At 41.6% G+C, this 15208-nt stretch overlaps 1 protein-coding gene and 1 pseudogene across 18 annotated transcripts in view; both read right to left on the bottom strand.

Moving 5' to 3' along the window:
* Positions 1-1473: 1473 nt before the first annotated feature.
* Positions 1474-15208, bottom strand: part of CEP112 (centrosomal protein 112) — a 556597-nt gene continuing 542862 nt past the window's right edge. For 17 of the 18 annotated variants that reach the window (NR_126542.2, NM_001353128.2, XM_047435529.1 and 14 more), the window contains 3 exons: positions 6901-7002; positions 3061-3125; positions 1474-1911 (listed from right to left, as the gene is read on the bottom strand). Coding sequence is in view for 16 of the 18 variants with exons in the window: in NM_001353128.2 (NP_001340057.1) it covers positions 1908-1911; positions 3061-3125; positions 6901-7002 (171 nt within the window). In the remaining 2 variants the exon portion in view is untranslated. Of the gene's footprint in view, positions 1912-3060; positions 3126-6900; positions 7003-15208 lie in introns of those variants that run through there. The other variant, XR_007065281.1, reaches the window with a different exon arrangement.
* On the bottom strand, positions 8897-10167 carry LOC100420638 (chloride intracellular channel 1 pseudogene; annotated as a pseudogene).

The raw sequence follows: 15208 nt of genomic DNA on the forward strand, positions 1-15208 counted from the left end.
CATACATGACATGGTTCAGAAGGGAAACAGGATCTGGGTAATGTCAAAGGTTCACCAGTGTTTGTAATTTCATAACCCTTGAAATGAGGAAAAGAAAGAATGGCAGGCAACCTTCCAAAACACCTACTGATATTTACTCATGGAAAACAAATAGTCTTGAGTGGGAGTTCCAAAGCCAGCATACAATACAATTCACAAGTATTTTCACCTCAAGCACCTAATAACCTTACTAATGAAATCTGGTGAGCTTCAACTTGTTTTCCATGGTCTGTACAGAAAGAAGTACTTAACAGGAATCCTGTAGGAATCTTTCCTTTCAGACTAAATCATAGTCTGAGTACCAATAATCCTCATTTGTTTTAATAGCATCTGCAATGATTTTGCTTTTTCCTAAATATTCTTGAAACCAGTACTATAATTTATTGTATATGCAGGAAAAACCTCATCTTCCAAAAGACAGAGACTTATATTCCTGAGGGAGGTGTCAGGGTGTCTGAACATTACCAGGCTGAGTGGTAGCCCCACAGAGATGAGTTAGTGCAAGAATCCCAGGCCTCCTACTGATGGCCACAGCCCAGCCCTGTTTATGCCAATTCCCTCCCTGGCTTTGGAAGTGGCTGTAAAACCTGTTACTTCCTTATCATCTCTGTGGCTCAGTTACAGTACAAAAAGGGGTAATTAATCCTTGGGCTGCAAACAACAGACTTGGGCGTGGGAAAGAGAAAAGAATTTTGAAAAAGTGTAAATAAACTTTGTGCCCTGTCCTTTTACAGTAAACCAGAGGATTACAGCCCCGCCCATGGGCCAGATTTTTAGAGAGCTCAAAATGCCCATGGCACACACCACACTGCAGTCGAAAGAACTTGGGGCATCCCTTCACTCATTCTCCGCAATTCAAAATTTCCTTGGCAAATGGGTTGACCAATCATCACAGAACAGCTCTTGGGCGTTTGGGTGGGGAGAGGGACCCAGACTTAACCATCCACTCATGGAAGCAACACCATAGTCTCTCAACCAGGCAGTGACCACATGCAAACCGTACCGAGTAAAGCACATTCTGTGACTACTTGCCAATGTGTTGTGTCCTCATAACCTGACCTCACATTTTTTAGGCTTTCTTAAGGATCATCGATTGATATTATAATTAAAACGACAACCATAAAAAGGGAGATCAAGAAAGTAACAATAAAACCACAGCAGCTATCTAAAATTGTTACACCATATTCTGCCTCTACGGTTCCAGGACGTGATTGGAGACCAACAAGACAAATACTTGGACTGATATCAGATGATCCAGCGATTTTATCCTAAACACCAATTCATGCACTAATTATGGATTTGATTGTTGACATGATATAAGGTATATTTTCCCAAAGTACAATTTGAGATTGCTAACATTTGCTTGGGAAAAATATCATATATATGTCACACTTATTTTAGCAAATGAGGTTTGATAAAAAGTAGAAATAAAACTGGTAAGTACAAAATAATATTTTAATAACATAGGAACATGAACATGAAAACAATGTAAACAGGTTAGAATTTTTGATATGATACTACAAACGTGATTTTGATCGTACGCAACTGGTAAAATTCTATGCAAAAGGATTAACAAGGCATATCATAGGAAATCACTTTGCCCAATATAAGCAGTTCTCAGCACATACTCAAATGCACACAAACATGAAAATCGGAAATAAAGGAATGTTAAAAAAATAACTTAGGCAGACACAAATAAAACCACCCCACTAGTGTATGAATGATGCATGTTTTTATGATCTTAATTACATTTAAGGATTTAAAAAATGCCACTGATCTCACAGTTTACAATATCCAAATCTTCAAACCTGCTGGAAGAAGTCCACAGCACAGCCTGGAAATTGCATCCGTTGCATTCTCTCGTGCAGTTACCTGTAAACCAAAAATCGCAGTCACGACTTTCTCTAGGTTTAACAGGTATGTCAATCAAAAAATAAGCTTCAATTCTGGAGAAGTTGATAGGGGTTGAAAAGGCTATTTGATATCAAAATGTCATAATTTATGCTTATCTATAAGGGATCAAATCTTACCTACACCGAGCAAACAGAATCTTTCGAAAAATGTGTGATTCACAAGATCTTTCCTTTTAATTCAAAGCCAAATAAGTAGTTCAGTCTTTCACTGCACAAACAGGAAGGGCGTTTGATGGAATTACAGCAGGTAAACACAATCTATGTTAGTGATGGCACTGGGAACCTTTGACTACAAAAGGTCTCATGCATCCCCAAAAAGAGCACTGAGGGTACTCAAGTCACTGTGAGTGCTGGATCACTGAGCTGTTGGTCTATTCTGGTCTGGAGAACAATGCCAAACCCTTGGGGGAAAGGACTTTGAAGATGTGAGCTATCCTAGCAAGTACTGCATCATCTCACTATCTTAAAGGAAGATCGTGTCTCCTTCACTCCATCACTGGGCCTCAAGACAACATCTTGTCCTCTTGTCCAGGTAAGGCCTGGACCTGCCATGCCCCTGCAGATCCTTCCATCTTTCATCTTTCTTTTTTCTTTTTCTTTTGTTTTTTTTTTTGGAGACAGAGTCTTACTCTGCTGCCCAGGCTGGAATGCAGTGGTGTGATCTCAGCTCACTGCAACCTCCACCTCCCAGGTTCAAGCAATTCTCCTGCCTCAGCCTCCTGAGTAGCTGGGATTATAGGCGTGTGCCACCATACCTAGCTAATTTTTGTATTTTTAGTAGAGACAACGTTTTACCAAGTTGGCCAGGCTGGTCTTGAACTCCTGACCTCAGGTGATCCTCCTGCCTTGGCCTCCCAAAGTGCTGGGATTACAGGAGTGAGCCACTGTGCCCGGCAGATTCTCTCATCTTGTTTTGATAGTACAGACTAAGCACTGGGATGAGAAGGGGGGTGACTTCTTAAAGACATGCTACTTACTAAAAACAAGTCTTTTTCAAAACTTGTATTATATCCAAGCATTTTAATAAAGACAAAGGCCAGACAAGGAGGCTCACAGGTGACACAACACAAACTAATCAGGAGACAAGACACCTGCTTATGGGCTGTACCTTCTGCCTTGATATGTAGTCAGTTCTTCCTGAAGGATGGAAGCTCTCTTTTGCAGAAAATTAACCTAGAAAAGACACCTTGTGTGAGAAGAGGTGGACGTGGCTTACATGTCAATATTGTGCAAATAGTATGGTAAGATTTTATTTAAATTCAGACAATTCCCTAGATAAAACTCAGAGGATTTGTTGAATGTCAATGTTGTGTTTTTTACATTTGGTCACATCCCATCCTTATTGAAAATCCATCAGTTACGACAGAATAAAGTTCAAACTCCTCATTGCAGAGCCATTTTGATCTGGCCCACCCCCATCATTGTGGCTTTACCTGTCCTCACGCCCTGCCCACCACTGCTGCTTCCACACCGTGTCTTTCTCGCTCCGTTGCTCTTTGGCCCAGGCCATTTTCTCTCTTTGGAACACTTGTCTTTCTGTCTCCCATTCATCCTCCACCATTTGGTTTAAATGTCACCTCTCCTGTGGAATCGTTCACCTCCTCCCCAGCTGCTCCTTGCCTCCTAGCCCCAGGCAAAGCCAGCGGTCCCCTCCTCTGTGTTCCTCCCCTCTATTACTGGTACTTCTCAAACTGCTTTGTGGTTATTTGTTTTCATATCTCTTCCCTAAACCTGAGAGCTTCTCTTGGGCAGGAATGACTTTTCTGTCTTTCCACCCCAGTTTCTTTTACAGGGCTGGGCATGTAGCTGGTTTCACTAGCTGTTGAATGAATGAATGAATGAGTGAGTGTAAGGAAAATTACTGCTTTCTGGAAACCTCAATCCATTCTAGGGATTCCCTGAGGTTGGAGAGACAGAACTTCATAGCGGAAAGAGCCTGAGCTTTGTCTGGAGTTAGGCCAACTTTGGTTCAATTCCTGGCTTGCCATCTGTGGCTCTAGGAAAATTACTTAAGCTCTTGATGCTTAATCTGTGAAATGGGATTAATGACAGCTACTTCCCAAGGTTATGAGGATGACATGAAACAACTATAGAAACCGCCTAGTGCAGAGCTCAAAGCAGGTACAACCCCCAGACCGCCATTCTTAGGGGGCTGGAGGAAACTGGGTTGTTTAGCATATTCTCTTAAATCAGACCTTTACAAAGCATTTGATTATTGTGTAGCATACATTTCTGTACTGTTAAAGATGCCTGTATCAGGCGTGGATTCAAAAGCACCTTACACAACCCAAATGGTTTGGGGCCAACTTATACCATGGCTTAATGTAATCAAGAGTCAGTGGTATTTGATCGTTTCAGAATTGTTTATTCTTACGTCTTTGGTCTGAACTGAAACCATGGCAACGGTTGATCCCGAAACATAGTTATGCAAGGGAGTACAGCTGGCAGAACAGAAAATGTGCTTGAAAGAGAAGAAAACACAGTCTTTCTAAGTGGGTGCATCTCAAAGTGGTCCTCCTGGTTTTGCTTATTTGTATAGCACCCTGGTCTTCATTTTATCCAATTGCTCAAGTGACCCATAGGACAATTGATAATTTTGACAGATGCAGGGATTACACTGATTCAACTTCCCTCCCCCAACCATGCTCTGTAATCGGAATTCCAACAATTCTCAAAAAACACAGGCACCTGTGCTTTCAAACTAAATTTGCTCACTGTATGGCCTGTGACTCCTGCGTGCAGCTGCCAACTCTGAGGCCCTATCGCAGCTGGCAGCACTCTCTTTCTGGGTCAGCATCCAGTTTTAGGAGGCTGAAGTGGCTTTTATTACAGTGAAATGATATGAATGATAACAGAAGCCCTGCAGGTGGGTATCAGATTCCTTTTTTTTTCCTCTTCCTAAAAAAACTCCTCTGAAGGCGTCAGGTCCTACATAGCTGACACTATCTGTAGCTCACCTACAAACTTAATGGGTAAACCACACCTGGAGTGGAGATTTTCATGTAAATAAAAATTATTTAACCCTTTGTATGTTCCCATTCTCCTCCACTACTTATTTTTATATGCAGGCGTGAACAAAATTTCATAGCCCTTAGAAGCAAAATCGCAAACAGTAGCATATGGATTGAGATTATGAACATTTCATTTTCAGATAAGAGAAGTTTTACTAGGGGAATATAAAAGGAACAGCTAAAATGTGTTCCACATTTTATCTTACATACTATAAATAGATAACGTGGATATCATCAAACCATATCATTTATTTTATTCATAAATATATTTATTAAGCACCTGTTATGTGCCAGGCAAAGTACTTGATACAGGGAGTAAATAAATCCTTTCCTTCATGGAATTTTTCAAGGAAAAAATATGTCTTAAACTTCAAAGTGGGCTGGGCACGGTGGCTCATGCTTGCAAAATGAGGCTGAGGTGGGCGAATTGCTTGAGGTCAGGAGTTCGAGACCAGCCTGGCCAAGATAGCGAAACCCTGTCTCTACAAACAAACCCCCGTTTCTAAAAATTAGCTGGGCGTGGTTGCATGCACCTGTAATCCCAGTTACTTGGGAGGCAGAGGCAGGAGAATCGCTTGAACCTGGGAGGCAGAAGGTGCAGTGAGCTGAGATAGCACCACTGAACTCCAGCCTGGGTGACAAAGTGAAACTCTGTCTCAAAAAAAAAAAAAAAAAATCAAAGTGTATTGGAGATGTGAATATGTAAACTCTTTCTCATGATACCAACAATACGTAAAACATTCAAACATGTTAGAAGTTTTTCTCACATCGTGAACCACATCACATTTCTTTTTTTTCTCTCTTTCTTTCTTTTTTTTTTTTTTTTTTGAGACGGAGTCTTCCTCTGTCACCCAGGCTGGAGTGCACTGGGCGTGACCTCGGCTCACTGCAACCTCCGCGTCCCAAGTTCAAGTGATTCTCCTGCCTCAGCCTCCTGAGTAGCTGGGATAACAGGCATGCACCACCATGCCTGGCTAATTTTTGTATTTTTAGTAGAGACGGGGTTTCACCACGTTGGCCAGGCTGGTCTCAAATTCCTGATCTCAGGTGATCTGCCCGCTGTGGCCTCCCAAAGTGCTGGGATTACAGGCGTGAGCCACTGCACCCGACCATATATATATATATATATTTTTTTTTTTTTTTTTTTGAGACAGTCTTTTTCTGTCATCCAGGCTGGAGTGCAGTGGTGTGATCTCGGCTCACTGCAACCTCTGCCTCTGGGGTTCAAGTGATTCTCCTGCCTCAGCCTTCCAAGTAGTTGGGATTACAGGCACGGGCCACCACGCCCCGCTAATTTTTGTATTTTTAGTAGAGACGGGATTTTGCCGTGTTGGCCAGGATGGTCTCAAACTCCTGACCTCAAATGGTCTGCCTGCCTCGGCCTCCCAAAGTGACAGGATTACAGGTATGAGCCACCATGCCCAGCCAAGAACCACACATTTCAACAAGAACTATTTAACCTAATTGTTTGAATACCTTGTCATTATTTTGCCTTGAACTTAGAATACATCTTGTTATCTCTAACGACCATGTAAAATACACCAGAATAAAAGTGCTTCTAACATAACTGTGCTTTCAATTTCTCTGCCCTTCTGCACAGTGAGGAATCAGCCATATGCTAAGTGATGGCATTTTGGACCTGATACCAAGAATAAAAGGATGAGGCTATATTGGAAGGTAGACTGTAAATGAATTGAAGTTATAACTGACTGAACTTTTCAATTTTAAGGGTGCTTTAAAGAAATTCTTATTGAGACAGTGAGTTATTAAACAAGTAAGAAAAAAATTTAAAACAAAATGAAAATTTATCCTGAGTAGTAGGTTATGCAATGACATCACATTGATTTCTGGCAACAATTTGGAATCAGATTTATTTGCAAGTTTCTTTTCAGAGTATCCCCTAAATCCTTGGAAAATGCCTTGATTCTAGTAATTACCTGTGATTTTAGGGAGGAAATGGTGTCTTCAAGTTCTTGTCTTAGGGATGCTGGCATCAATCCTTTCAATTTTGTTTCATATTCTTGTCGTATGTAAGTTATCTAAATTGGAAAAAAATTAAGAGTTATCTTTTTACCACATAAATGATTGTTTTGGATTTAAGAAGTCCCAGAACAGATCTGTTCATCACAATGAAAGGTTTGTTACACGCGGTCAGAAACCAGACAATAAAGATGAAATAAGAAGAAAGAGTTAAAAACTGAAAAGGCTACCCAGTCTGACCCTGTGACTCTGAGAGAGATGGTCCCTGTAACAATGCTTTATTTATTTAAAATCCTCATGAACACAATTTTCAGCATCTGATAAGTAAAATAATTTTTCTCTCCTCTTCACTCATGAGGTTCCCCACTATGCTAGCCCTGCAGCCTCTCCTTGATCAGGATGTGAACTCCAACCATACTAAGCTGTCATCTGAGGACAACTCATAGCATGTCTCTGCTTTGATGAAAATACTCCTTGAGGGGGTGGTGGCTCACGCCTGTAGTCCCAGCACTTTGGGAGGCTGAGGTGGGCAGATCACTTGAGCCCAGGAGTTTGAGACCAGCCTGGGCATCTCTAAAAATATATAAAAATTAGCTGGGCATGGTGGTGCACAATTGTAGTTTCAGCTACCTGGGAGGCTGAGGTGGGAGGATCCTTTGAGCCCAGGAGATCAAGGCTGCAGTGAGCCAAGATCGGGCCACTGCACTCCAGTCTGGGTGACAGAGTAAGACTTTTTCCACCAAAACCCCCAAAAATCCCTACTCCTCCAAACTGTCAGGTAGTTGGGGCACTAAATGTGATTCATATAATCATGAAGACATGAATGAAGGAGAATCTGCATAGCTGTGTCTCCGACCCTCTTTGACACAAGTAGACAGGTAGAGTGCACTGGGCATAGGAAGGTTCCTGGTTCCTGGTTTCTTTCTGCCTCCCAAATACTATCGGGCCTGTGTTTAACTAACTGATGCTCACTGGGCTAGTAAAAAAAATAGGTTGGTGGCTCATCCCATTCATCTCTCTCAAGGCTAAAGGAGTGAGTGAGAGGGTAGAAGAAAAGCCTTTGGAAGAATATGCCTGAGCAGGATGAAGATGTGCATGGATGAGGCGTGAATATGCATGTGTAGATATTGGTGTCTTTTTCCAGCTGTGTTTCTGCATTTCTCTTCCACCTACTGTGAAATAGGATAGAATTAATTATTTTAAAAATCTGTTGCATGTGCTGTGCATGACTTAACCAAACATTAAAGCTGAGTTGCAGTGTATCATACCAAGTGATTCATCATACGCACCTGGAAATAGGCAATATACTATGAAAATTGTGTACGACTGAGTTGAGTTGGATAAGCCTATCAATTTGCTGAAGACAATTTAAAATTAACAGTCTTTAAGACCGAACTTTTCTTACACTAAACTGAATTAAGGAAAAAATGTGCTTAACAATTCATTTCATTACCTACTAAAATCCTGTGGCCACTGTTATAGAACATAAATTTTCAATTTTTGGCAAAGTGCTTTTTTTGGGATATGTTATAATCCTGTGACTTATACCTAAAGGAAAAAAAGAAATAATAAAACATGATCTCTCCCACAGATGCAAAGTCTTTGCTGATGAAATATCTGTTGATTCTCCTGTCTACTGATTTTTCTCACCTTCTCTTCTTCAGCTTACCTCCAAGTGAGCCAGTTCCAGCTACTCACTTACTTGAGTCAGTTAGCTGATTCAAATGAAGGAAAAATGCAAAGCAAAACGCATGCTTTATAAACCAGACCTCAGGGTAACATTTATTGAGGGTTCATGGGTTATATATTGACTATTTTTTTTTCTATCACTCAACACTGGTTCTGAAAGTTTGAGTTTCAACTCTTTTAAAAACAACTCATGCATGCGCTATTTCCTTTTTAAACAAATTTTATTCTGTATTTTACTACTGAAATATGTTGTCCTACCCATCCCACCCCACAGTAAAAATCTCATCCAGGCTCCCTATTTCTTTCCCTTATCCCCTCTTCCACCACACCATCCCGGGACAAGTGCTCCAGGATTCCCTGCCCACTGGCCATTCTGGAGTGTGTCCTTTGGGTAGCAATGTGGAAACCACCAGGGCCTTTGTGGAGAAAATGGAGGGGGCTGAAGGAGTCCCAAGAGGGGCTTATTGGAGGGCCTTGGATCCTTGCTCATAGGTGAGCTTGATCTCATCATCTGGACAGGTGGAGGCAGATTCTTCCTGAGCATAGGCATTGCTCAAGTACTGCTGCACGCCCTGGAAGGCCTCAGGGATGGTGAATCCCTGGTATTTTTTTTTTCTTTTGAGATGGCATTTCAATCTGTCGCCCAGGCTGTAGTGCAGTGGCATGATCTTGGCTCACTGCAACCTCTGCCTCCCAGGTTCCAGCTATTCTCTTGCCTCAGCCTCCTGAGTAGCTGGGATTACAAGCACGCACCACCACACCTGGCTAATTTTTTTTTTTTTTTTAGTAGAGATGGAGTTTCACCTTGTAGGCTAGGCTGGTCTTGAACTCTTGACCTCAAGTGATCTGCCTGCCTCGGCCTCCCAAAGTGTTGGGATTACAGGCGTGAGCCATGACACCCGGGCCCCCTGGTACTTCTTACACACCACTTGTACTATGTGGAGCGTTAGCAACAGGTTGCAGTCAGCCAGGGTGAGCTCATTGCCATCCAGAAACTTCCTCTGAGAGATGCCTTCATCTTCAGCACTGGTTTCATCCACTTCTTCTGAGTGGCAGGATATCAAGTGATTGTCTAAAACCTTCAGGGCTTTCAGGAGTCCCTTCTCCAGATTGTCATTGACTACTGGGTTTGAATTCTTGATGTAAGCAGAAAATTTGGCAAATATGTCCTGCTCAGCTGTGTTGGATTCAGGGTTCAGAGCTGCCAGCTTGGGGTACCTAGGAGGGCACAGCACTGCCTACAGAAATTCCTCAATCTTGTTGGTGTCCTTGTGTTCTTCCATGCCATACAGCAGGAATGGGAGCTGCCCTCCTGGGCACAGCTTTTGCACTATCTTGGTCTGCCTCTTGGTGTCAATGATGGTGACATTGAAGGTGACTCCCTTGAGCCACAGCACCATGAACAGTCTCTAGAAGGGGCAGTTCCCAATCTTGGCCCCATCACTGCCAGCCTTCACGAACAATTCAACTTGCAGTTGTTCTTCAGCTATGGTTGCGTTGGGGACCAGAAAGTGGCCATAGCTGGGGGAACTGGGGCATGAACTGTTTCTTACATCCTTATCTGTTTAGAATGTCTATCTGTTTTCCTAAGCTGGCACTCGGCAAGAAGGCCATGTTCCATTTGAGTGCCAAGATGGTGAAGCCCAATGGTGAGAAGCCGGACAAGTTCAAGTCTGGCATTTTCCAGGGTCTTCTGAAGCTGGAGATGAACTCGGACCTCAAGGCTTAGCTCGGTTGCATTTATAATGCAGTCCTTGAGGATTCGGTCTTCTCACGTGAAACTGGATGGCAGCCAGCTCATACAGGTTAATTTGGACAAAGCACAGCAGAACAATATGGAACACAAGGTCAAAACTTTTTCTGATGTCTATAAGGAGCTCATGGGCAAAGACGTTGATTTTGACTTTCCAGAATTTCAATTGTAAACACAAATTATAAAGTATATTCACAGTAGAAAAACAAAAAAGTCTATCCATTGCCTGCATATTTAAAAGACAACTTTGCTGGGTATAAAAATGCTTCAATCCCACTTTCTTTCTCTCATAACTTTGTGAACACAAAGATCAAGTTAGCTAGGCATGGTGGTGTGCACCTGTAGTCCCAACTACTTGGGAGGCTGAAGTAGGAGGATTACTTGAGCCCCTCAGAACATTTCTCCAGTGTTTTCTGGCATTACATATTGCCATGGTAAAGTCTGAGGCCAATCTGATTTTTTTCATGTTGAATATAACTTTCTTTTTCTGCTTGGATGCTATGATTTTCTTTTTCCTTCATTTAGTAACTTCACTGGGAAATGCTTTGATACTAATTATTTTATATTAATTTTCCTGAGACATTGTGTGCCCTTTCTACCTTTACATTGCATTATTTGAACAGAAGTTTCCTTTGTTAGAATAATTACTTGTATTTTATTATATATATATACTTATATGTATTTTTTTCTGTTGGTTCTCTTCTTCAGAGACACAAACTTTGCATGTGTTGACCCTTCTTTGACAATCTCCCATAATTATACATTTTATCTATTATTACTTTTATTTTCATATCATTTTATTTTGAGACAGGGTCTTGCTATGTTGCCCAGGCTGGTCTCCAACTCCTGGACTCAACCAATCTTCCTGCCTCAGCCTCCTGAGTAGTTGGAATTACGTGCATGCATCACTGCACCAAACTCTTCTTATCGTTTTATATCTATTTTATATTTTCATTTCATTTTGTATAATAGCCTCTAGCCTAATTACTATATTTCCTTGGATGGTTTTAGTTATGATTTTTCTATTTTTGTTTCATCTACTATGGTTTCAATCTCTGTAATCTTTTGCTTTTGTCTACCATTTTTCCTAAGCTCTGAGAGATCACTTTTCATCTGTCTGTTGACTTATATCATCTTTAGATATGTCTCTTCTTTTTTCTATTTCTCTATCTCCCTCCACCATTTTCCTTGTGAGAGAGATGTTTAAATGTGTTTTGTGAATGCTTTGACACTGTGAAGAGCTGTTATAAAGAACTGTAATTAGTCTGAACCTTCCTCCTGTAATTTTCCATTTGATATACAGAACAGTATTTGCTTACATTCTTTCTTCTCCTCTCTTTTAATCCAGCAAAGATCATATGCTAGTTCCTTTTTCTAAAAGAAAAATTACACCTCCTTTTTGAATGGAACCAGCTATTTGCTGAGAGTTGAGGTGTGGTGGGGGCAGCTGGGGTCAGGCCACAGCTATGCTTTGGTTTTGTCGTCTTCATTACACTTTGACCAAATCTATGATTTCATTTGCTCTGGGGGCCTATGTCCCTCAGTTTTCAAGTACTTTGGAGGTCACGGCCAAGTACTTAAGCCCTTTGGTTCACGCTTATGGTTGGTTTCTCTTGACTCTCCTTCCTCCTGCCCTGCCCACTATTCACATGTGATGGTTTCTCTCTAGTAGGAGGCTAGGCCATAGAGAGTAGAAGATTGGGTGTGACTAAGGTTGCTCTTTGATCGCCATTATTCCTTCCATCACTTTTCAAATTCAGAAGTTATATTTTCCAACATTTATTGAAGATTCGTGCATTTATACTTCCTGTCTACTCCTTTATTCTTAGTTTTTGTGATTTTAGTGAGTTTGAATGAATTTAAAATAAGCCTCTGGAAAATATGAAATTACCTCATGTGTGAGTGAGACTGTCAACTGGGAAAATATTACTACCCTGAATTCTTAAACTCAAATGCTCAATTTAAAAATCATTATGTAAAGCTGAATCCTGTTACTTCAATAAAGTCATGAAAAACTTTAACCAATCTGTTTTCATTCTATTTATGAGGTTAATAAAATTATCACGAGCAAACATTTACTGAGGACTTTCTGTGTGCCAGGTGTGACTCTCCATGTTTTTATATGGACTTAATCCTTCTGATGACCCAATGAGGGAAGCATAGAGAGGTAAAACATGATTTGAACTCAGGTAGTCTGACTCTCAAGCACATATGATTGTCCACTTTGCTCTACAGTTTCTCAAATAATCCTTCTAAATGCTGAGCTGATTTTTCCACCCCAGGGGGAAGAGAATGCCAGAGACACGTGGGTTAGAGGAGTCTTTGCTACCACGCTCTAGTGCTTTCCCCAGCACAACAGGGGCCAGGGCCAGGGGATGGGGCGTTGAACTGCAGTGCTTCCAGACATCCATCTAGTCAGCGATCTTTTTAAAAATGTGACAACAATAACAATGACAACAACAACTGGTTCCAGAGGACTCCCCACGCCTTCCCATTGATTTTAAAATTTTAGCTTACTACAGATTTATATACGACCAACTGAAGAAAACCTACACAAATGCAACGTATATGTCTGACCTAAAATAAAAGTTTCACAAATTCCCCAAAGAAGCACATATTCAAAAATCCAACCAGTGAAGGATACATGTAAATTTGTCACATGGCAAAATGACAAAAGAAAAGGAAATAATTAGTTTATATTCCTATATATCACTCTTGATTCTTGTTTTTTTTTTTTTTTTTGAGACAGAGTTTTGCTTTTGTTGCCCAGGCTGGAGTGCAATGGCGCGATCTCGGCTCAGCGCAACCTCCGCCTCCTGGGTTCAAGCGATTCTCCTGCCTCAGCCTCCCGAGTAGCTGGGATTATAGGCATGCACCACCATTCCTGGCTAATTTTGTATTTTTAGTAGAGATGGGGTTTCTCCATGTTGGTCAGTCTGGTCTCGAACTCTCGATCTCAGGTGATCCACCCACCTTGGCCTCCCAAAGTACTGGGATTACAGGCATAAGCCACTGTGCCCGGCCTTTTTTTTTTTTTTTTTTCAAGAGACAGGGTCTTGCTCTGTTATCTAGGCTGGAGTGCCATGGCACAATCACAGCTTATTGCAGCCTCAACCTCCCGAGGCTCAAGTGATCCTCCTGCCTCAGCCTCCCGAGTAGCTGGGACTACAGGTGCGTGCCACCATGCCCAGCTAATTTTTTTTTTTTTTTTCCCCATATGGATAGTTTCTCACTATGTTGCCTAGGCTGGTCTCAAACTCCTGGGCTCAAGTGATCCTCATGCCTCGGCCTCCCAAAGTGCTAAGATGATAGGCATAAGCCACCATGCCTGGCTTTTGCTACTGCTTTTCTATCCCCACCTCTGACCCAGGCTGTGTTTAAGGGGAAACAATGAGAGAATGAGAACTTTTACCTGTGGACTATTCATGAACTTGGAACTGCTTGACTATGAAACAATCTGGCCTTACAACAGACCATGAAGCAAGATGAGGTTGAGTGGAGTTAAGCAATGGGTTTGATGGACACAAAATTCCTTTGATTCAAGATCAAAATTTTTACTCATACATGTATTTTATTATTATATTTGAATATTAAATTCATTAGCATAAAGTGTCCTATTATACCAGTGAGTGATGTCTATTAAACACGAAGGTATTCAAAGGCTGGTCTGCTGTGGTTCATTTCCATCCTCTCTCCATTCCCATCATCCTCAAAAAGCACTGTGGATAATCACGTGCTCTTCCACATCCCTCAACCACATCGCACCAAAGAGAGGGGCTTCCCTCTCTCCACCACGGTTACTTCTCTCTCTACCTTCCTTCATCTTCCTTCCTTTAGCAAAATAAAATTAGGAAACTCACTCAGGACATTGTGATAATGACATTTCTATAACTAGTAATGACTCCTGTAAGCTGAGTGGAAATGGGGTCTTTATAACATGGTGCCCATGTGACTAAAGGGCTGTGCCCTGCTCCATGGCAATAGACTGCCCACTTTTCCCTCCAAGGCACGGCACTGACACTATGATTCCCTTAACTTTTAAAGTGAACTGTGAAGACCAAGACCATCCCTAACTAGAGTTTCATGTTCCAATCAAGTAGAACTGAAATCAAGGGTAATCAGACAAATGATCATTTGCATAAATAATAGACTATAAGGTGTATGGAATGTGCAGTTGACTTGAGCCAAAGGGTCCGTAGAGATAAAAATTCAAAGTGACATTGGAAAAAAGGAGCCTTGAAAATCTATAATTTCATTAAAAATAGCGAAGGGAGAACTAAAACATATTTTATGATGTTTTTATTCAAAAAACACCACATTGACCGGGTGGACTGGCTCATGCCTGTAATCCCAGCACTCTGGGAGGCCGAGGTGGGTGGATCACCTGAGGTCAGGAGTTCAAGACCAGCCTAGCCAACATGGCGAAACCCCATCTCCACTAAAAATACAAAAATTAGCCAGGCATGGTGGCAGGCGCCTGTAATCCCAGCTACTCGGGAGGCTGAGGCAGAAGAATCGCTTGAAGCCAGGACGTGGAGGTTGCAGTGAGCCAACATCGTGCCACTGCACTCTAGCCTGGGCAACAGAGTGAGAGTCTGTCTCAAAACAAACAAACAAACAAACAAACACACACACACACACACACACACACACACACACACACACACACACTGTATCAACCAATCATGTCAATATGTCAAAACCATGTCAAATATGTCAACTGGTTTATAATAAAACAAAAACTAAGATGGAAATGTGCAGCTCTGTGCAATCAGCTTAGGCACAGGCCTCAAATGCAAGTTATTTTATTGCAAGCTCCAATG

This window comes from Homo sapiens, chromosome 17 (genome assembly GCF_000001405.40).
Source record: "Homo sapiens chromosome 17, GRCh38.p14 Primary Assembly".
NCBI lineage: Eukaryota > Metazoa > Chordata > Mammalia > Primates > Hominidae > Homo > Homo sapiens.